Source organism: Homo sapiens, chromosome 14, assembly GCF_000001405.40.
Source record: "Homo sapiens chromosome 14, GRCh38.p14 Primary Assembly".
Taxonomy (NCBI): domain Eukaryota; kingdom Metazoa; phylum Chordata; class Mammalia; order Primates; family Hominidae; genus Homo; species Homo sapiens.
In genome coordinates, this window is record NC_000014.9 from 104,820,733 (window position 1) to 104,842,944 (window position 22,212).

Below are 22,212 nucleotides of genomic sequence, written 5' to 3' on the forward strand. Positions count from 1 at the left end.
GCCCTGCAAACCTTCATGTGCCTCTGCCTGGATCCCAGCAGAGCGAGCACCCCGTGGGCGCTGCGGGGCACGTTTGGCTGCAGAGGCAGCGCCTGAGCAGGGAGGGGTGGCGAGCAAGGCCCTAGCCGCCTCCTGCCTTTCAGTCTCCTGCCAGCAGCTCCCACTGGCGGCTTCCTGCAGGAACTGGCGGGAAGGGGGTGATGTCCCAGGCAGAGCACAGCACTGGGCGGCCGATGGAGGTTCATGGCACAGCCCACGTTTGCACTCTGCGTCCTGTCCTCGGTGACTGTCCTTCCCTAAGAGAAAGAATTTCTAACCCCAAACGGAAGAAACCACAGCGGCACTTCCCACAGAAATCGGAGCTGTGTTGTGAGCCACTAGTAATCCCTCCTTAGAGGTGGCAGGGAAGAGGATCAAAGGAAATGGTAAATTAACCTGCAATACGCTGCGTCCGGGAATAGAAGCTCCTGCTGCGGCTGGCCCACTCCTCATCCCTGCACCATGGAGGCTCTCCCAGAGGCATGTCAAAACCCCAGCCTGACGACCAAGCTCTGTCCACTGCCCACCACCAACAGCCACCACTTGAGCCTAGATGTGTGCACGCAGCGGCGGCGTCCACCCAGGAGGCAGACCCCAGGAAGAGGCCTGCCGTCTGGGAAGCAGGCTCAGGCCTGTGTGGGCAGCAACCTAGACGGAAGGGGCTAGGTGCTGAGGGGCCATGTCCCTTGAGCTGGAGGAGGGCACAGCAAGGAACTCTGCAGCATGGACCTCAGGACAGAGCTCCTGGGTCGGGGCATTGCCGGCCTGCAACGCAGGAGCGGGTCGGGGGCCCGCACTGGTGAGTACAGCTCCAGCGTTGGTGTGCTAGGGCCACTGTAAGGAGGTGCCTCCAACGGGGCGTGAACAGCAGCAGCGTGTGGTCCCAGTTCTGGAGGCTCCAGCTGTCCACAGGGCTGGTTGGGTCTGAGGCAGTTGTGGGGAACCTGGCCTCTCCTCCACTCTCGTGGGGTTTGCAGGCCATCTTTGCTGTTCCTTGGCTGGTGGAGGCAGCGCCTCAATCTCTGCCCGAATCTTCACATGGTATTCTCCCTGCGAGCTGTGTCCAAATTTCCCGTCTTTATAAGGACACAGTCACACAGGATCAGGGGCCCACACTCCCGGGATGACTCACCCTAACTTGATGGATCACATCTGCAAAGACCCTATTTCCAAACAAGGTCACATTCTGAGGCCCTGGGGGTTAGGCCTTCAACATATGAATTCGAGGGGACACAATTCGACCCGTAACAGCTTCTGTCTCCCCACACATCCGATGTGCTTCTCCCTCTGCCACGCTTAGGCTGGGGTCTCTACCAGGCACCTCGACCCGAGTCCTCACTCAGGCCGGCTCTGAGCCTCACAGCTCTGTCTGTGGGAGCTGCCCTAGTTTTCCACGGACCTTTATTAGGTGACATGGGAATATCGAGCAGTGCCCCAGAATCCCTGGGTTTTGACACAGTGCTTCCTCCTCACCTGAGGCAGCATTCCCACCCTCCTGCAGGGATCTCTCCGAAGAGATTCCTCTGCAGAGATCTCTGGCCCGCGGAGCTCCCTTCTCCAGCGGTCAGCTCGGCAGTGAGCGGCCCCACATGGCCAGAGGGCATCTCTGCTCCTGTGTTTGGGAAGCAGACCCACGTTCCCCAGAGGACCGGGAGCCAGGACTGCCACTCCTGCGACCCCACCTTACCAGAGTGGGAAAGAAAAATCCCTCCATAGCCGATTAGCTGTCACGGCCACTCTGTGTAAGGACTGCAGAGGCGTGGCAAGGCCGTGACTGGCGTCCGTCCACAGAAGCCCTCTCACAGGCATGGCCACCTCCAGTTCGGCATTCTGGCGGTGGGGAAACGGCCTCCTAGGTCGGTCCCAGGTTAGAAGCCTGTTCTGCCCCCCACAGGCCTGCATCTCAGTGTTAAGGGGTGCAGTCTCCCCGCTGCAACCATTCCACCAGTCTGTTAGGCCTCCTGCTTCTAGGTGAAGGGCGTGGAGTGAGACCAGTGGAACTGATGGACACAAGCTTATCGCCACACTGGTTTTCCTCTGAAACAAGGCCCTGGATTACAAGTGTCATTTGTGGAATCCCAAGGCAGCGAAGGAGGCCAAGGATGGCATGCTGGCGGGAGAAGCCTGCGAGGACCCGTCCCTTTGAGGATCCATCCCTGCAAGGACTGGCTCTCGACAAAAGGCACGCCGTGTGCTCTGCCTGCTTCCTGGAGGCTGGCTGCCCTCCCCACAGGGGGTGGTGCCACATCAGGGCTCAGACACCATCCTCGCTGTTGGAAAGATGGGCGCCCAGCTGTCCATGCTGCTGGAAGGGTCTGGTGGGGGTGAATAGGCTACGGAGCCTGTGTGGCCACCATGCCTGTGGCCTCAGCCACTTTGTGCAAAGGACTGCAGAGGCGTGGCAAGGCCATGATGTGTCCGTCCACCGAAGGCCTCCCTGGTTTTGAGCCCCTCCTCTGCAGGGAATGCTTCCAGCATTTTCATGGATTACAAATGTCTTAGCCCCTGCCCTTTCAAGCAGTTCCTTAGCTCCCCTCCCCAGTCCACAGAGCCATCTCCTGCCTGTGAGTTAGGCCTAATCAACGTAAATCTGTCCTCCAGGCCCTCCCTTCCCTCCAGATGAGGTGCGCAACCAGTGGTGCTGCTGGACGTTTGAAAATACAAAAGGCCGGGCGTGGTGGCTCATGCCTGTAATCCCAGAATTTTGTGAGGCCGAGGCGGGTGGATCCCAAGGTCAGGAGTTCAAGACCAGCCTGGCCAAGATGGTAAAACCCTGTGTCTACTAAAAATACAAAAATCAGCCAGGCGTGGTGACGGGCACCTGTAATCCCATCTACTCAGGAGGCTGAGGCAGGAGAATCGCTTGAACCTGGGAGGTGGAAGTTTCAGTGAGCCGAGGTGGTGCCAGTGCACTCCAGCCTGGGTGACAGAGCGAGACTCCTGTCTCAAAAAAAAAAAAAAAAAGAAAAAGAAGAAGAAGAATACAAAAATTAGCTGGGCATGGGGGCACGTGCCTATAGTCCCAACTATTCACTGGGAGGTTGTATTAGTCCATTTTCATGCTGCTGATAAAGACGTATTTGAGACTGGGCAATTTACAAAAGAAAGAGGTTTATTGGATTTGCAGTTCCATGTGGCTGGGGAGGCCTCACAATCATGGCAGAAGGGGAATGGCACATCTCACATGGTGACAGACAAGAGAGAGAAGGAACTTATGCAGGGAAATTCCTCCTTATAAAACCATCAGATCTCATGAGACTTATTCAGAATCACGAGAACAGCATGGGAAAGACCTGTCCCCATGATTCAATTACCCACTGGGTCCCTCCCACAACACATGGGAATTCAAGATGAGATTTGGGTGGCGACACAGCCAAACCATACCAGAGGCTGAGGTGGGAGGATTGCTTGAACCCAGGAGGCAAGGTTGCAGTGAGCCAAGATCATGCCACTGCACTCCAGCCTGAGTGACAGAGCGAGACCCCTATCTCAAACCCCCCCCCAAAAAACAGATACAGGTGGATGATTGGATGGGTCAGGGATGGATGAATGGTTGGATGGGTGGAAGGATGGATACAGGGTGGGTGGATTGTTGGATAGATGGTGGGATAAATATTCGGGTGGTGTATGGTTGGATGGATGGTAGGATGGTGGATGGTGGATAATTGGCTGGATGGATAGTAGGATGGATGGATGTTGGATGGATGGATGAACAGTGGGGTGGTAGATGGGTAGATAAATGGTTGGATGGACAGTAGGATGGTGGGTGGTTGGATGGATGGATTGATGGATGGATGGATGGATGGAGGGTTAGATGAATGCATATTGGCTGGATGATAGAATGGTGGATGGATAGATGGGTGGTAGGATGGTAGATGTTTAGGTAAATGGTTAGATGGGTAGTAGAATGGTGAATGGTTGGATGGATAGATTAATGGATGGATGGTAAGATGGTGGATGGTTGGATGAATGTTTGGATGGATCGTAGGCTGGTGGATGGTTGCATGGTTGGGTGGGTGGATGTATGGTTGGATGGTGAATGGTTGGATGAATTGATGGATGGATGGTAGGATAGGTGAATGGTTGGATGGATAGGGATGATTGGATGGATGGATTGATGGTGGACTGATGGATGGATAGATGGTTGGTAGATGATAGGTTGGATGGACAGTTGAATGGTTGGATGGATTGATGGATGGTTGGTTGGGTGGATGGATGGATGGTTGGACAGATGGTTGAATAGATGGTATGATGGGGTTAAGGACAGATGCATAGGTGGTGGAAAGATGGATGTTTAAAGATGGTTGGCTAGGAAGATAATTGGATGGATGGAGGATCCCCCAGGGTTGCTACCTGAGCAAACTCTGGGAGGTTTGGAAATCTTGATCACAGGGGTCTGTGGGCCTGTCCTGTGGATGAGAAGTCAAGACTGGAGAGGCTTTGACCTGGGCTGGTTTTAGGGATAGGGGCCACTGTGAGGACAGAGATGCAGAGGCACAGACAAGGAACTGGGTGGAGGTGCACTCTGCAGGATTTCTGGTGTCTGATGGAGATGGTTATTTGTGGACTCCAGATGATTCTAGAAGTCCCCAAGACTCTTCTGGGTGGGATTCATGAAGGCAGGTGGCAGGTTCCCCAGCTTAAAAGCCAATAGAAAAGTAAAGAATCGGGCCGGGCACGGTGGCTCACGCCTGTAATCCCAGCACTTTGGGAGGCCAAGGCGGGCAGATTACGAGGTCAGGAGATAGAGACCGTCCTGGCTATCACGGTGAAACCCCATCTCTACTAAAAATACAAAAAAATTAGCCAGGCGTGGTGGTGGGTGCTTGTAGTCCCAGCTACTCAGGAGGCTGAGGCAGGAGAATGGCGGGACCCGGGAGGCGGAGCTTGCAGTGAGCCGAGATGGTGCCACTGCACTCCAGCCTGGGCGACAGAGTCAGACTCCGTCTCTTAAGGAAAGAAAAGAATCGGAATGACAGATACCGGCAGTCTGAGGATTGGCGGAGATGGCCTCGCTGACTGGGAATATTTGAGCAGAGGCAGGAAATGGCTGGGGCGGAGGGACTGGCAGGAGCAGAAGCCTGATGTGGGGCTTGGGGCGTGCTGGGGCGTAGCGAAGTGGCAGGAGATCCCGGAGCACCGGCAGGGAGGGGAGCCAGAGGGAGAGGAAGGTGTGGAGGCCTTATGGAGCTCTCCTGGGGTCTTGGATGTTCACTCCGAGTGCGATGGGAGCTGCAGGAAGGTTTGATCCCCGGAGAGACCAGATCGGGCTTGAGCTCTGACCGCAACCCCTGGCGCTGGTTGGAGGGCACACGGGCAAGGCGGTGGTGGGAGCGCTGCGGCAGTGCAAGACCACAGAGCAGGGGGATATGCGGGGGGTGGGCTGGGAGGGCTAGGTGGGGCGTCTGACGAGGCTGGGGAACTCCTGTTCTTAAGCTCAGGCCGGGGTGAGCACTGTCCCTAGGAGGGTGTGGCCAATCCTCGCCCTCAAGGCACTGCGGCATGAATGAAGCGCTTTAAAGGGAGTTCCCAAAATGAAATCCCTAAGCGAAAGGTCTGGTCCTTCTGGGAAGCGGAGCAGACTGCGACAGCTGGCGTTGGAGCGGGGGGCGGTCCCAAGTCATCCTCAGGCCACCCGTGGCCAGCCCCAAGCTCTCTGCGGCGAGGAGCGCTAGCCCCAGAGCCTGGCGTCCTGCTGGGGAGGCGCCTTTCCCGCGGCGCTGGGCGCCCTGGGCATCCGGGAGGAGCACCCGTCCCGCCCTCTCCCCGCGCCCGGCTCCGCACTCCCCGCCAGCCCTGCGCCCCGCTCCCCGCGCGCCCCCTGGCGGCAAACTTCGCAATGGCTCCCGCCGCGCTCTGCTTTTCGGGGTTGCCGGAGGGGCGGGGCTGCCGGAGGGGCGGGGCTGCCGGAGGGGGCGGGGCTGCCGGAGGGGGCGGGGCTGCCGGAGGGGCGGGGCTCGAGTGGGAATGCAACCCTTGGACACGGTGGATCCTGGGAATCTAACCTTCCGTCCCGGGGCTGATGAGCTCCAGCCCTGCCCCAGGAACTGTGCTGGGGGCCCCTGGGGATGGGGACGCAAGCTCAGAGGGCGGAGACCTCGGGCGCCCCGGCTTCGTCCGCAAGGCGAGACGGGCCGCAGGGGACTGCTAGGGTCTGCAGGGGGGTCTGCGGGGGTGAGGGGGCGGGTGGGCTCGGAGGATGGCCCCGGGCTCCCAGGGAAGCTGGAAGGGCGTCGGGGGAGGTGACGGCGCGGAGACCTCGGACTCTCAGTCCTGCAGGGGCCGCGGACACAGGTGGGGAGGAGTGGGGGAGTTTTTCCCTGGGAGAAATGGGAAGCGTCGAAGGATTTTAAGGAGTGCGGCTGGTCGGGTTTGCATTCGGGGAGGTCGCTTTGTCTCTTGAGTGGAGAATGAGGAGGTGGCAACAGCAGGGGAGTCACCGGGAGGCTGCTCGGGTCCAGCTCAAAAACGCCAGGCCCGCCCCCGCCCCGCAGGTCCGCGGGAAGGAAGGAAAAGGCGTTGGGGATGCGTAGGAGGCAGAGGCCTTGGTGGTCGATCCGGTGTGGAGTGGGGCAGGGGCTGCGAGGAGGGCGCCCAGGACTGGTATCAGTGAACAGTGACGGTGGGGCAGGGCGGTGACCTTAGCACCAGCGCTTCGGTGGGGGGGAGGAAGCACCTGAGCCGCGGAGAAAGGCCTGCGTGAGGTGGGCACAGGCTGGCGTTGAAGCCCTGGGGTGGACTCACGTCCAGGGGAGGGCGGTGCTTCACACGTCCCAGGCACTGTCTTGTGTGGCCCCAAGTGCTGTCTGAATCTCTCCTGCGTCTTGGGCCCCAGCACCAACAGCCGTCGCCCTGGAGCCAGGCAGCAGCCTTAAGCTTCCCTGGGAGGCTGACTGGCTGGGAGCAGGGAGGTCCCATCGGGGAAGTAGGGGCGTGCAGGGGGCTTGGCGCCTGCAGTCCTGGAGGGGCAGGGCAGATGATAAGGCTAAGTACCTCCTGTCCTTTGCTCAGCCAGCCACTAGGAGGAGGCCGCAGAGAAGAAGCCGCCAGGGGCTGGGGGAGGCCAGGGACGGGGCAGGGAGGAGGGGCTGGGCTGAATGCAGGTGCCCCAGGAGCTGCGGGCTCTCCTTCCACAGGTTCGTGTCTGGTACACGGCTGGAGAAGGCAGGGAGGGTGGGAGGAGCCTGGCTTGGAGAGAAAGGGCTGGCCGGAGACACCAGAGTGCTCAGGGCAGGGGCGGGAGAGGTGGTCCCTCAGGCCTCAGTGGCAGAGGCATGGGGATCCAGGGCTGAGAGTGAGTCTGTGGTTCATGGGGTTACCAGAAAGGGGTCCTGATCCAGATCCCAAGAGAGGGTTCTTAGATCTCACGCAAGAAAGAATTCAGGGCGAGTCCACAAAGTAAAGCGAAAGCAAATTTATTAAGAAATTAGAGGAATAAAAGAATGGCCACTCCATAGAGCGGGCCAGAGGGCTGCTGGGTGACCATTTTTATGGTTTTATTTTTATTATATGATAAACAAAGGGTGTATTATTCATGACTCTCCTTTTTAGACCATAAGGGGTAACTTCCTGATGTTGCCATGGCATTTGTAAACTCTCATGGTGCTGGTGGGAGTGTAGCAGTGAGGACGACCAGTGGTCACTCTTTTTTTTTTTTTTTTTGAGACAGAGTCTCGCTGTGTCGCCCAGGCTGGAGTGCAGTGACACGATCTTGGCTCACTGCAGGCTCCGTCTCCCGGGTTCACACCTTTCTCCTGCCTCAGCCTCACGCCTGTAATCCCAGCACTTTGGGAGGCCAAGGCAGGCGGATCACGAGGTCAGGAGATTGTGACCATCCTGGCTAACACGTGAAACCCCGTCTCTACTAAAAATTCAAAAAATTAGCCAGGCGTGGTAGCGGGTGCCTGTGGTCCCAGCTACTCGGGAGGCTGAGGCAGGAGAATGGCATGACCCTGGGAGGCAGAGCTTGCAGTGAGCTGAGATCGCGCCACTGCACTCCAGCCTGGGCGACAGAGGGAGACTCCATCTCAAAAAAAAAAAAAAAATTTTAAAAGACCAGGTGCAGTGGCTCACGCCTGTAGTCCCAGCACTTTGGGAGGCCATGGTGAGTGGATTGCTTGAGCCCAGGAGGCAGAGGTTGCAGTGAGCTGAGATGGGGCCACTGCACTCCAGCCTGGGTGACAAAACAAGACCCTGTCTCAAAAAATAAAATATTTAAGCTTATTTTGTGTGTGCTATGGTTTGAATGTTTGTGTCCATCCAAAATTCATATATTGGAACTTAAGTTGCAAAGTGATGGTATTAAGAGGTAGGGCCTTTGGGAGGTGACCAGGGCAGGGCGGACGGGATTAGTGCTCTTACACAAGGGCTTGAGGCAGCGGGTTCTTTTCTTTAGGCCTTTTGGCCCCTTCCTCTATGTGAGGGCACAGCAAGAGGGTGTAATCCCTCCCAGACACCACATCTGCTGGCCTTGACCTAGGACTTCCCCGCCCCTAAAACTGTGAGGAATACATTTTTAGTATTTATAAATTACTCAGTCTGTGGTATTTTATTTATTTATTTGAGATGGAGACCAGCCTGGGCAACATAGTGACACCTCATTTCTTTAAAAACAACAACAAAAAAATTAAGGGAAAATCAGCCAGGCATGGTGGCATGGGCCTGTAGTCCCAGCCACTGGGGAGGCTACAGTGGGAGGATCCCTTGGGTTGGGCCTGGGAGTCCGGGCCATGATGATATCACTGCACTCTAGCCTGGGTGACACAGCAAGACCTTGTCTCAATTAAAAAAAAAGAAAAGAAAAGAAAAGAAAGGCATAGATCTTTACTGCAAGACGCCCACAGAATGCTGTCTACATGCCATGCCTCTAATTCCTCTTCTTTCATTCTCTTTTTAAAAACTTTTAAGATTGAGATATAATTCACATACCATAAAATTCATCTTTTTTTTTTTTTGAGTCTTGCTCTGTCGCCCAGGCTGGAGTGCAGTGGCGCAGTCTCAGTTCACCGCAACCTCTGCCTTCCAGGTTCAAGCAATTCTCCTGCCTCAGCCTCCTGAGTAGCTAGGATTACAGGCGTGCGCCACCACACCCAGCTAATTTTTGTATTTTTAGTAGAGATGGGGTTTCACCATATTGGCCAGGCTGGTCTCAGTCTCATGACCTTGTGTCTGCCTGCCTCATCCTCCCAAAGTGCTGGGATTACAGGTGTGAGCAACCGCACCCAGCCTTTTAATTTCTTTAAATGACGTTTAATAGTGTTCAGTGTTGGCTGGGCACAGTGGCTCACGCCTGTAATCCCAGCACTTTGGGAGGCCGAGATGGGCAGATCACGAGGTCAGGAGATAGAGACCATCCTGGCTGCTACGGTGAAACCCCGTCTCTACTTAAAAAAAAAGAAAAAAAAATTAGCCAGGTGTGGTGGGGTGGCGGGCGCCTGTAGTCCCTGCTACTCGGGAGGCTGAGGCAGGAGAATTGCTTGAACCTGGGAGGCAGAGCTTGCAGTGAGCCAAGATCGCGCCGCTGCACTCCAGCCTGGGTGAGAGAGCCAGACTCCGTCGCAAAAAAAAAAAAAAAAAAAAAAAAAAAAAATATATATATATATTTGGTAGAATTCACCAGTGGAGCCAAAAGGGCTAAGGTTTTCTTTATAGAGAGGTTATTTTTTTGTTTTTGTTTTGTTTTGTTTGTCACTAATTTAATCTTCTTACTTTAATTTTCTCCAGAGAATACTTTTTCTTTTTTCTTTTTTTTTGAGACAGAGTCTCACCCTGTCGCCCAGGCTGGAGGACAATGGCGTTATCTTGGCTCTCTCCAACCTCCCAGGTTCAAACAATTCTCCTGCCTCAGCCTCCTGAGTAGCTGGGATTACAGGCACCTGCCACCATGCCCAGCTAATTTTTGTATTTTTAGTAGAGATGAGGTTTCCCCATGTTGGCCAGGCTGGTTTCAAACTCCTGATCTCGTGATCCGCCTGCCTTGGCCTCCCAAAGTGCTGGGATTACAATTGTGAGCCACCGAACCCGGCCGAGAATAGTTTTTCTTAAGTCCTTAAGGACTCAGCTCCTTACATGAGCTTTGATGGTGGTTGTGGGGCAGCACAGACAGGTCTAAATCCAGGTAGGGTTGTTTGGTCCTTGCAGGCTGCACGACATGGATTCCTGACTGCCTTGCTGTGAATCGCACAACTCACACAGCAGTGTAGCGTCACGTGCAGCTTGGGAAGCACGTAGGCTTTGAAGATGCTTGTTTCAGAAACGTTACTGACTGCTGTGGCCTCTACTGCTTCAAATGATGAATTTGTTAACAGCCTTGTCTTTGGACACAGTTTGTGCAGCAAATAGGCTGCACATGGCCATGGCCCTTTTTGGCACAACCAGTGTTCCTTCTTTTCTTTGTCATCTTGAAGGCACAGACCCAAGAGAGTTATCTTTTTACTTCTTAAAGTCCTATTCAGCTTTTTAAAATTTCTTCTTGGATTAGTTTCATTAGTTTGTGACTTTTCGGAAATGTGTCAGTTTCATATAGACTATCTCATTTATTGGCCTCCAGTTATTCCGAGCATATCATCCCTTCTATTTCCTGAAGGTCAGTCCTACTGTACCTACTTTCATTCCTGATTTTATTAATCTAAGGCTTTTCTATTTTTTTTTTTTGTAGGTCAGTACAACTTAAGGTTTGTCAATCTTATTGATTTTATCAAAGAATTCACTTTTGGTTTCACTGATTTTTCTCTATTTTTTATTCTCCATTTTTATTTATTTATTTATTTATTTTTGAGATGGAGTCTTGCTCTGTCACCCAGGCTGGAGTGCAGTGGCACGATCTCAGCTCACTGCAACCTCCACCTCCCGGGTTCAAGTGATTCTCCTGCCTCAGCCTCCCGAGTAGCTGGGATTACAGGCGCCTGCCACCACGCCCGGCTAATTTTTGTATTTTTAGTAGAGACGGGGGTTTCACCATCTTGGCCAGGCTGGTCTCGAACTCCTGACCTCGTGATCCGCTCGCCTTGGCCTCCCAAAGTGCTGGGATTGTAGGCATGAGCCACCATGCCTGGCTTGTTCTCCATTTTATTTATTTCCACTGTCACCTTTGTTATTTCCTTTCTTCTTTCTGCTTTGGGTTTAGTTTGCTTTTTCTCTAGTTTCTTTTCTTTTTTTTTTTTTTTTTTGAGACAGAGTCTCGCTCTGTCGCCCAGGCTAAAGTGCAGTGGCACAATCTTGGCTCACTGCAAGCTCCGCCTCCCGGGTTCACGCCATTCTCCTGCCTCAGCCTCCCAAGTAGCTGGGACTACAGGTGCACGCCGCCACGCCCAGCTAATTTTTTATATTTTTGGTAGAGGTGGGGTTTCACCATGTTAGCCAGGATGATCTCGATTTCCTGACCTCGTGATCCACCCGCCTCGGCCTCCCAAAGTGCGGGATACAGGCCTAAGCCACCACGCCTGGTCTAAATTTCCCTATTTAGCCACTTTAGCTACATCCATAAGTTTTGGTATGTTATGCCCCCACTCGCTTTCATATCAAAGTACTTTAAATTTTTTCTTGACATTTTTTATTTGACTCATTGGTTATTTAGAATTGTGTTGTTTAATCGTCACCTATTTGTGAATTTCTCAAATTTCCTTCTGTTATTGATTCCTAATTTTATTACATTATGATTGGAGAACACACTTTGCATGACTTCAGTCCTTTTAGGTTTATTGAGGTGTTTTTTTTGGCCTAACATATAGTCTATCCTTGAGAACCTTCCATATGCTCTTGAGAAGAATATGGATTCTGATATTGTTGTGTGGACCATTTTTTCAAGATCTGTTAGGTTTAGTTTAGTTGATTTATAGTGTTGTTGAAGTTGTCTACTTCCTCGTTATCTTCTGTTAGTTGTTCTATCCATTATTGAAAGTGAGGTATTGAAATCTCCAACTAGGCCTGCGTGTGGCAGCTCACGCCTATAATCCCAGCACTTTGGGAGGCCAAGGTGGGCGGATCACCTGATGTCAGGAGTTTGAGACCAGCCCAGCCAACATCGTGAAACCCCATCTCTACTAAAATACAAAAATTAGCCCGGTGTGGTGGCAGGCATCTGTAATCCCAGCTACCTGAGAGGTTAAGGCAGGAGAACGGCTTGAGCCTGGGAGGCAGAGGTTGCAGTGAGCCAAGATGGCACCACTGCACTCCAGCCTGGGAGATTTAGCAAGACTCTGTCTCAAAAAAAAAAAAAAAAAAAGGAAGGAAGAAATCTCCAATTAATTTGAATTATCTATTTCTCCCTTCAATTTTGTCAGTTTTTTTTTTTTGTTTTTTTTTTTTTTTAGACAGAGTCTCGCTCTGTCGCCCAGGCTGGAGTGTAGTGGCACCACCTTGGCTCACTTCAACCTCTGCCTCCCGGGTTCAAGTGATTCTCCTGCCTCAGCCTCCTGAGTAGCTGGGATAACAGACAGGTGCCACCAAGCCTGGCTAATTTTTTATATTTTTAGTAGAGACCGGGTTTCACTGTGTTAGCCAGGAGGGTCTCGATCTCCTGACCTCGTGATCTGCCCGCCTCAGCCTCCCAAAGTGCTGAGATTACAGGCATGAGCCACCGTGCCCAGCCAGTGCATATGTGTTTCTAGTTATTATATCTTCCTTATGGATCACCCTCTTATCATTATAACACATCCTTCTTTGTCTCTAACAATAATTTTTGTCTTAATATCTATATTTTCTAATATTAGTAGAGGAACTCCACCTCTCTTTGAGTTGCTGTTTGAATGTTATATCTTTTCCTGTCATTTTACTTTGTTTTTTGGACGGAGTCTCGCTCTGTCGCCCGGGCTGGAGTGCAGTGGTGCAATCTTGGCTCCCTGCAAGCTCTGCCTCCCAGGTTCACGCCATTCTCCTGCCTCAGCCTCCCGAGTAGCTGGGACTACAGGTGCCCGCCACCACGCCCAGCTAATTTTTGTATTTTTAGTAGAGACGGGGTTTCACCGTGTTAGCCAGGATAGTCTCGATCTCCTGACCTCATGATCCGCCCGCCTCGGCCTCCCAAATTGCTGGTATTACAGGCATGAGCCACCGCGCCCGGCCTCCTGTCATTTTACTTTTAAGATATTGTGTCTGAATCTAAACTGTGTCTCTAGTAGCCATCATGTTTTATACCTAGCAGATATAGTTGGATTATGTTTTTTAAATCTATTCTGCCAATCTTTTTCTTTTAATTAGTGTTTAATATATTAATATTTACTATAATTACCAGTGGTGGGATTGAGGTCTGCCATTGTGCTATTTGTTTTCTCTCTGTCTTGCCTGTTTTGTTCCTCCTCTATTCCTCCATATTGCTTCTTTTGTGTTAAATATATATTCTCTAATGTGCCATTTAATTCTTTTTTTTTTTTTTTTTTTGAGACAGAGTCTCGCTCTGTTGCCCAGGCTGGAGTGCAGTGACACAATCTTGGCTCACTGCAAGCTCCACCTCCCAGGTTCATGCAATTCTTCTGCTTCAGCCTCCCGAGTAGCTGGGACTACAGGTGGGTGCCACCACCCCTGGCTAATTTTTTTTTGTATTTTTAGTAGAGACGGGTTTTCTCCATATTGGTTAGGCTGGTCTCGAACTCCTGACCTCGTGATCCACCTGCCTTGGCCTCCCAAAGTGCTGGGATTACAGGCGTGAGCCACCACGGCCAGCCTCCATTTAATTCTTTTGTCATTTCTTTTGCTATATATATTTTCAAATTTATGTTTTATTGAGGTAAAATTTACATAACATAAATTTTGCCCAGGCGTGGTGGGTCACGCCTGTAATCCCAGCACTTTGGGAGGCCAAGGTGGGCTGATCACCTGAGGTCAGGAGTTCAAGACCAGCCTGGCCAACATGGTGAAACCCCGTCCCTCCTAAAAAATACAAAAAAAATTAGCCAGGCGTGGTGGCGAGCGCCTGTAACCCCAGCTACTTGGGAGATTGAGGCAGGGGGAATTGCTTAAACCCAGGAGGTGGAGGCTGTAGTGAGCTGAGATTGTGCCACTGCACCGTGGCCTGGGCGACAGAGCGAGACTCCATCTCAAAACCAAACAAACAAACAAAAATTTACCACTATAACCGTTTTAAGTGTACAATTTAGTGGCATTAAGTACATCCACAATGTTATGTAATCATCACCACTATTTCCAGAACTTTTTTGTCATCCCAAATTCTGTGCCCATTAAGCAATAAGTCCCTCTCCCTCCCTTCCCTCTAGGCCTGGTAACCTCTATTCTAGTTTCTGTCTCTATAAACTTGCCTATTCCAGATGTGTCATATAAGTGGAATCATATAATATTGGAACTTTAATGTCTGGCTTATTTCACTTAGTAGAATGTTTTCAAATTCTCCCATATTGTAGCATGCCTCAGAACTTCATTCCTTCTTATGGCTGAAGCATATTCCATTTATGTGTTTAGACCACATTTTGTTTATTCTTTTATCTGTTGATGGATACTTGGCTTGTTTCCACATTTGGCTATTGTAAATAATGCGTTATGAACATCGGTGAGCAAGTATCTGTGTGATTCCTCCTTTTCAGTTCTTTTTTTGTTTCTTTGTTTTTTGAGACGGAGTCTTGCTCTGTAGCCCAGGCTGGAGTGCAGTGGCCCCATCTCGGCTCACTGCAAGCTCCGCCTCCCAGGTTCACGCCATTCTCCTGCCTCAGCCTCCCATGTAGCTGGGACTACAGGTGCCCGCCACCACGTCCGGCTAATTTTTTGTATTTTTTAGTAGAGACGGGGTTTCACGTGTTAGCCAGGATGGTCTCGATCTCCTGACCTCGTGATCCGCTCGCCTCGCAAAGTGCTGGGATTACAGGCATGAGCCACTGTGCCCGGCCAAGGGTTTTAATTTCTTACTACCCTTACCAGCATTTGTTATTTTGCTTCTTTTGAAAAAATTATAGCCATCCCAATGGGTGTGACATGGTATTTCATTGTGGTTTTATTTTGCATCTCCCTAGTGACTGATGATGTTGAACATTTTTTGTGTGTGCTTGTTGACCATTTATCTGTCTTCTTTGGGGAAAGGTCCATTCAAGTACTTTGTTTATTTGTAAATTAGGTTGTTTAGGGAGTTTTTGTTTCGGAGTTACAGCAATTCTAATATGCTGCATATTAATATCCTATCAGATATAGGATTTGCAAATATCTCATTTTGTGAGTTGCCATTCTACTCTTTTTTTTTTTTTCAGGCTTAATTCACTTTACTTCTCTTGTATAAAAACCCTATGTTGTAGCCACAGCAGGAGCCTGGGTCCACTGCACGGAGACTCTGGTGTGGGTCTTGACGAGGTGGTCAGTGAATTCCTGATAGGGAGACTTGGTGAATACAGTCTCCTTCCAGAGGTTGGGGGTCAGGTAGCTGTAGGTCTTAGAGATGGCATCAAAGGTGGCCTTGGCGAAGTTGCCCAGGGTGGCAGTGCAGCCCCGGGCTGAGGTGTAGCAGTCATCGATACCAGCCATCATGAGCAGCTTCTTGGGCACAGGTGCGGAGACGATGCCAGTGCCCCCGTGTGCAGGGATGAGGCGCGCCGGCACAGAGCCGCAGCGGCCTGTCACCTTGCAAGGGACGGTGTGGGGCTTGCCGATCTTGTTCCCCCAGTAGCCTCTGTGCACAGGGACAATGGAGAGCTTGGCCAGGATGATGGCCCCACGGATGGCGGTGGCCACCTCCTTGGAGCACTTAACACCCAGACCGACGTGGCCATTGTAGTCTCCGATAGCAAAGAACGCCTTGAACCTGGTGCGCTGGCCGGCACGGGTCTGCTTCTGCACCAGCATAATCTTCAAAACCTCATCCTTGAGAGAGGCCCCCAGGAAAACGTCAATGATCTCAGATTCCTTAATGGGCAGGGAAAAGAGATAGATCTCCTCCAGGGACTTGATCTTCATCTCCTTGACCAAGCGGCCCAGCTTGGTGACAGGCATCCACTCCTTATCCTCAGCCTTGCCTCCGCGAGCTCCGCAGCCTTGGCCCTGGCCCCGTCCACGGCCGCGACCCCGGCCCCGGATGCCACTGCCGAAACCTCCGCGGAAGGCACCACGGTTCCCCATCCCAGGGCCACCAGGGCCTCCGGCACCCCCCCCCCCCCCCCCTGCACCGGCGTCATCCGCCATTTGGTGTTTTCTCAGACAAGAAGCGCCATTCTACTCTTTTTAAAAATTCTTTTTATTGTTTTTTAAATTTTTTTATTATACTTTAAGTTCCAGGGTACATGTGCACAACGTGCAGGTTTGATACATAGGTATACATGTGCCATGTTGGTGTGCTGCACCCATCAACTCGTCATTTACATTAGGTATTTCTCCTAATGCTATCTATCCCCCTCCAGCCCCCCAACCCCCAACAGGCCCCAGTGTGTGATGTTCCTCGCCTTGTGTTCAAGTGATCTCATTGTTCAATTCCCACCTATGAGTGAGAACATGTGGTGTTTGGTTTTCTGTCCTTGTGATAGTTTGCTGAGAATGATGGTTTCCAGCTTCATTCATGTCCCTGTAAAGGAAATGAACTCATCCTCTTTTATGGCTGCATAGTATTCCATGGTGTATATGTGCCACATTTTCTTAATCCAGTCTATCATTGATGGATATTTGGGTTGGTTCCAAGTCTTTGCTATTGTGAATAGTACCACAATAAACATACGTGTGCATGTGTCTTTATAGTAACATGATTTATAATCCTTTGGGTATATACCCAGTAATGGGATCACTGGGTCAAATGGTATTTCTAGTTCTAGATCCTTGAGGAATCACCACACTGTCTTCCACAATGGTTGAACTAGTTTACACTCCCACCAACAGTGTAAAAGTGTTTCTATTTCTCCACATCCTCTCCAGCACCTGTTGTGTCCTGACTTTTTAATGATCACCATTCTAACTGGTGTGAGATGGTATCTCATTGTGGTTTTGATTTGCATTTCTCTGATGGCCAGTGATGGTGAGCATTTTTTCATGTGTCTGTTGGCTGCATAAATGTCTTCTTTTGAGAAGTGTCTGTTGATATCCTTTGCCCACTTTTTAATGGGGTTATTTGTTTTTTTCTTGTAAATTTGTTTGAGTTCTTTGTAGATTCTGGATATTAGCCCTTTGTCATATGGGTAGATTGCAAAAATTTTCTCCCATTCTGTAGGTTGCCTGTTCACACTGATGGTAGTTTCTTTTGCCATGCAGAAGCTCTTTAGTTTAATTAGATCCCATCTGTCTAGTTTGGCTTTTGTTGCCATTGCTTTTGGTGTTTTAGTCATGAAGTCCTTGCCCATGCCTATGTCCTGAATGGTACTGCCTAGGTGTTCTTCTAGGGTTTTTATGGTTTTAGGTCTAACATTTAAGTCTTTAATCCATCTTGAATTAATTTTTGTGTAAGGTGTAAGGAACGGATCCAGTTTCAGCTTTCTACATATGGCTAGCCAGTTTTCCCAGCACCATTTATTAAATAGGGAATCCTTTCCCCAATGCTTGTTTTTCTCAGGTTTGTCAAAGATCAGATAGTTGTAGATATGCGGCGTTATTTCTGAGGGCTCTGTTCTGTTCCATTGGTCTATATATCTGTTTTGGTACCAGTACCATGCTGTTTTGGTTACTGTAGCCTTGTAGTATAGTTTGAAGTCAGGTAGCGTGATGCCTCCAGCTTTGTTCTTTTTAATTAGGATTGTCTTGGCAATGCAGGCTCTTTTCTGGTTCCATATGAACTTTAAAGTAGTTTTTTCCAATTCTGTAAAGAAAGTCATTGGTAGCTTGATGGGGATGGCATTGAATCTATAAATTACTTTGGGCAATATGGCCATTTTCATGATATTGATTCTTCCTATCCATGAGCATGGAATATTCTTCCATTTGTTTGTGTCCTCTTTTATTTCGTTGAGCAGTGGTTTGTAGTTCTCCTTGAAGAGGTCCTTCACATCCCTTGTAAGTTGGATTCCTAGGTATTTTATTCTCTTTGTAGCAGTTGTGAATGGGAGTTCACTTATGATTTGACTCTCTGTTTGTCTGTTAATGATGTATAGGAATGCTTGTGATTTTTGCACATCGATTTGGTATCCAGAGACTTTGCTGAAGTTGCTTATCAGCTTAAGGAGATTTTGGGCTGAGATGATGGGGTTTTCTAAATATACAATCATGTCATCTGCAAACAGGGACAATTTGACTTCCTCATTTCCTAATTGAATACCCTTTATTTCTTTCTCTTGCCTGATTGCCCTGGCCAGAACTTCCAACACTATGTTGAATAGGAGTGGTAAGACAGGGCATCCTTGTCTTGTGCCGGTTTTCAAAGGGAATGCTTCCAGTTTTTGCCCATTCAGTATGATATTGGTTGTGGGTTTGTCATAAATAGCTGTTACTATTTTGAGATACATTCCATCAATACCTAGTTTATTGAGAGTTTTTAGCATGAAGGGCTGTTGAATTTTGTTGAAGGTCTTTTCTGCATCTATTGAGTTAATCATGTGGTTTTTGTCATTGGTTCTATTTATCTGATGGATTACGTTTATTGATTTGCGTATGTTGAACCAGCCTTGCATCCCAGGGATGAAGCTATCCTGATTGTGGTGGATAAGCTTTTTGATGTGCTGCTGGATTCGGGTATTTTATTGACGATTTTCGCATCGATGTTCATCAGGGATATTGGTCTAAAATTCTATTTTTTTGTTGTTGTGTCTCTGCCAGGCTTTGGTATCAGGATGATGTTGGCCTCATAAAATGAGTTAGGGAGGATTCCCTCTTTTTCTATTGATTGGAATAGTTTCAGAAAGAATGGTACCAGCTCCTCTTTGTACCTCTGGTAGAATTCGGCTGTGAATCTGTCTGGTCCTGGACTTTTTTCGGTTAATAGACTATTAATTATTGCCTCAATTTCAGAGCCTGTTATTGGTCTATTCAGAGATTCAACTTCTTCCTGGTTTAGTCTTGGGAGGGTTTATGTGTCCAGACGGAGTCTCCCTTGTTGCCCAGGCTGGAGTGTAGTGGCATGATCTCGGCTCACTGCAACCTCTGCCTCCCGGGTTCAAGCAATTCTCCTGCCTCAGCTTCCCGTGTAGCTGGGATTACAAGGCATGTGCCACCACACCCAGCTAATTTTTGTATTTTTAGTAGAGACAGGGTTTCACCATGTTGGTCAGGCTGGTCTCAAACTCCTGACCTCGTGATCCACCCGCCTCGGCCTCCCAAAGTGCTAGGATTACAGGCGTGAGCCACTGCACCAGGCCTTATTCTACTCTTTAAAAAAAAATCTTTTTAGAGACAGGGTCTCATTCTGTTGCCCAGGGTGGAGTGCAGTGGTGCAATCTTGGCTCACTGCAACCTCTGCCTCCCAGTTTCAAGCCAATTCTCCTGCCTCAGCCTCCTGAGTAGCTGGAATTACAGGCGCGTTGCCACCACACCTGGCTAATTTTTGTATTTTTGGTAGAGACAGGGTTTCACCATGTTGGCCAGGCTGGTCTCGGACTCCTGACCTCAGGCGATCCACCCACCTCAGCCTCCCAAAGTGCTGGGATTACAGGCGTGAGCCACTGTGCCTGGCCAAGTTTCGTAGTTTTAGCTCTTACGTTTAGGTTTTTTGATCCATTTTTGAGTACATTTTTGTATATAGCATAAGGTTAGGATCCAACATCATTCTTTTGTGTATGGATATCCAGTTTTCCTAGCACCATTTGTTGAACAGACTGTCCTACCCCCCATTAAATGGTCTTGGCAACTTTGCCAAAAATCATTTAACCAAATATGCGAGGGCTTATTTCTAGATTCTCTAGTCTACTCCATTGGTCTATATGTCACTCCTTATGCCAATACCACATTGTTTTAATTACTGTAGCTTTGTAGTAAGTTTTGAAGTGAAGACATGTGAGTCCTGCAACTTTATCTTTCTTTTTTACAAACGATTTTGACTATTTGTGGTCTCTTGCAATTCCATATGAGTTTGAGGATCAGCTTTTCTATTTCTGAAAAAGTAAAAATGGCTGTTGGAATTATTTTTTATTTTTTTGGAGATGGAGTTTTGCTCTTGTCCCCCAGGCTGGAGTGCAGTGGCGCGATCTCAGCTCACTGTAACCTCTGCCTCCTGGGTTCAAGCAATTCTCCCGCCTCAGCCTCCTGAGTAGCTGGAATTACAGGTGCCTGCCACCATGCCCAGCTAATTTTTGTATTTTTAGTAGAGATGGGGTTGCGCCATGTTGGCCAGGCTGGTCTCCAACTCCTGACCTCAGGTGATCTGCCTGCCTCGGCCTCCTAAAGTACTAGGATCACAGGCATGAGCCACCACATCCGGCCCAGGCTATTGGAATTTTTACAGAGACTGAGGTGAATCTGTAGATCATTTTGGGTAGTAGTGACATCTTAACAATGTTTCGTCCCCCATCCATGAATATGAAGTATCTTTCCATTTATTTCTCTCTTTAATTGTTTTCCGCAATGCTTTGTAGTTTTCAGCATCTAAGTCTTTCACCTCCTTGGTTAGATTTATTCCTAAGTACTTAATTATCTTAGATGCTATCGCATGCAGATGGAGTTGTTTTCTTAATTTTCTTTTCTTTCCTGGATTATTTTTTATCTTAGTACCTGCCACTACCTAACATTTTAAATATATTTATTTGTCTCTTTCTGTCTCATTTACTGAATAAATCTTCCATAAGGTCTAAAGATTTTTATTTGCTTATTGCCTTAGTCTAGGATCTGAAAACAGTGTCAGGCACATGGTCTAGTATGTATTTGTTGAGTGCACTAATGATGAAGGAACAATTTACTAATTTAGCATTCTCTTTATTTATGATTTTTTTCTTTTGCCATTATAAAAAAATGCGTCAGGGATTGCTGGGTCAATGTCCATTTGCCTTCTTAATTGTGTTTGCAGTTGAGAGGCTGCTTCCCAAGGTGATTGTTGTAATGATTTTCATTTCCGCCATCAGCAAATGAGGGTCCCTGGGGCCCTCACACCTCTGGGAGCACTAGGTGCTAGGTTGTCTTCTGTGTCTGACACCTGGGGGTAGATCCCTGTGTGAGCAGTGCTTTAGCTGACACTTCCCTGATGGCTAGTGAATTAGAACTTCTTCAAATGTTTGTTAACCATTTCATATTGCTCTTCTATGAATTGCTTATTTATAACCTTTGCTCATTTTTCTATTTCATTCCCTTCTTTCCTTCCTTCCTTCCTTTCTTCCTTCCTTCCTCCTTCCCTTCCTCCCTCCCTCCTTCCTCCCCTTCCTCCCTCCCTCCCTCCTTCCCTCCTTCCTCCCCTTCCTCCCTCCCTCCCTTACTCCCTTCTTTCCTTCCTTCCTTCTCCTCTCTTTCTTTCTTTTTGACAGGGTCTTGTTCTGTCACCCAGGCTGGAGTGCAGTGGCACGATCATGGCTCACTGCACCTCAACCACCCAGGCTCTAGCAATCCTCCCATCTCAGACCCCCAAATAGCTGGGGACTAAGGGTATGTGCCATCGCGCCTGGCTAATTTTTGTATTTTTTGTAGAGACAGAGTTTCGCCATGTTGTCTAGGCTAGAACTAGTCTCAAACTCCTGGACTCAAGCGATCTGCCCACCTCAGCCTTCCAGAGTGCTAGGATTACAGGCGTGAGCCATTGCGCCTGGCCACACTTTTCTTTTTTGTTCTTTTCTTGGCTGTTCTTCAGCATTTATTCTTCCATATACACTTTAAGATAGTTTTAGTCATTGAAAAGATCTGGGGTTCTACCTGGTATTGCTTTCTTTTGTCCAGATATTGCTCCATATCATTCCATGTTTTCTTCCTATAGGTTCTGTGCCTTCCTTAGTGATTTTCTTAAGCTTTTTATATTTCTTTGTCGCTCTTCTGGATGGGATAGATTTCCCATTGCCTTTGCCAGAAGCTCATTATTGGAATGGAAAGAAAGATTGATCATTGAGCATACTTCTTCTCTTCTCAATTTACCAGATTATTTTATTAAGGCCAGCAGTTTTTACTTGAGTCTCTTAGATCGTTCAGGTGTTCAAGCATATCATCATCAAGAAGAAGAGCTTGGCCAGGTGCCGTGGCTCACACATATAATCCCAGCAGTTTGGGCAGCGGATACAGGAGGATCACTTGAGCCTAGGAGTTTGAGACCAATCTGGGCAACATAGTAAGACCCTCATCTCTATAAAAAAATGTAAAAATAAAAAAAGAAGGGGAAGCTCTGTAATCCTTTTTTACCAATGTTTACGCCAATTATTTCAC

The 22,212-nt window shown here is 49.1% G+C and overlaps 1 long non-coding RNA gene and 2 pseudogenes across 1 annotated transcript, besides 5 other annotated features; 1 reads left to right on the forward strand and 2 right to left on the reverse strand.

The window, feature by feature from the left end:
- The first annotated feature begins 468 nt into the window (after positions 1–468).
- Positions 469–2,986, forward strand: VESTAR (VEGFC mRNA stability associated lncRNA). The gene has a single exon (NR_024396.1). It is a non-coding gene; the product is annotated as a VEGFC mRNA stability associated lncRNA (long non-coding RNA).
- Positions 1,500–2,131: an enhancer, noted in NCBI's record as "H3K4me1 hESC enhancer chr14:105288569-105289200 (GRCh37/hg19 assembly coordinates)". NCBI's record gives its function as "activates a minimal SCP1, AML or CMV promoter by ChIP-STARR-seq in naive H9 embryonic stem cells {active_cell/tissue: H9 hESC(naive)}" and the evidence as "EXISTENCE:reporter gene assay evidence [ECO:0000049][PMID:30033119]".
- Positions 5,815–5,984: a silencer, noted in NCBI's record as "silent region_6204". NCBI's record gives its function as "represses an Ori minimal core promoter by ATAC-STARR-seq in GM12878 lymphoblastoid cells {active_cell/tissue: GM12878}" and the evidence as "EXISTENCE:reporter gene assay evidence [ECO:0000049][PMID:35858748]".
- Positions 6,134–6,919: an enhancer, noted in NCBI's record as "H3K27ac-H3K4me1 hESC enhancer chr14:105293203-105293988 (GRCh37/hg19 assembly coordinates)". NCBI's record gives its function as "activates a minimal SCP1, AML or CMV promoter by ChIP-STARR-seq in naive H9 embryonic stem cells {active_cell/tissue: H9 hESC(naive)}" and the evidence as "EXISTENCE:reporter gene assay evidence [ECO:0000049][PMID:30033119]".
- Positions 6,920–7,705: an enhancer, noted in NCBI's record as "H3K27ac-H3K4me1 hESC enhancer chr14:105293989-105294774 (GRCh37/hg19 assembly coordinates)". NCBI's record gives its function as "activates a minimal SCP1, AML or CMV promoter by ChIP-STARR-seq in naive H9 embryonic stem cells {active_cell/tissue: H9 hESC(naive)}" and the evidence as "EXISTENCE:reporter gene assay evidence [ECO:0000049][PMID:30033119]".
- Positions 10,104–10,438, reverse strand: RPS26P49 (ribosomal protein S26 pseudogene 49; annotated as a pseudogene).
- Positions 14,760–15,028: a silencer, noted in NCBI's record as "fragment chr14:105301829-105302097 (GRCh37/hg19 assembly coordinates)". NCBI's record gives its function as "represses an EF-1alpha promoter that drives an FKBP-Casp9 reporter gene in an ReSE screen in phorbol 12-myristate 13-acetate-treated (for megakaryocytic differentiation) K562 erythroleukemia cells {active_cell/tissue: K562(+PMA)}" and the evidence as "EXISTENCE:reporter gene assay evidence [ECO:0000049][PMID:32094911]".
- Positions 15,225–16,175, reverse strand: RPS2P4 (ribosomal protein S2 pseudogene 4; annotated as a pseudogene).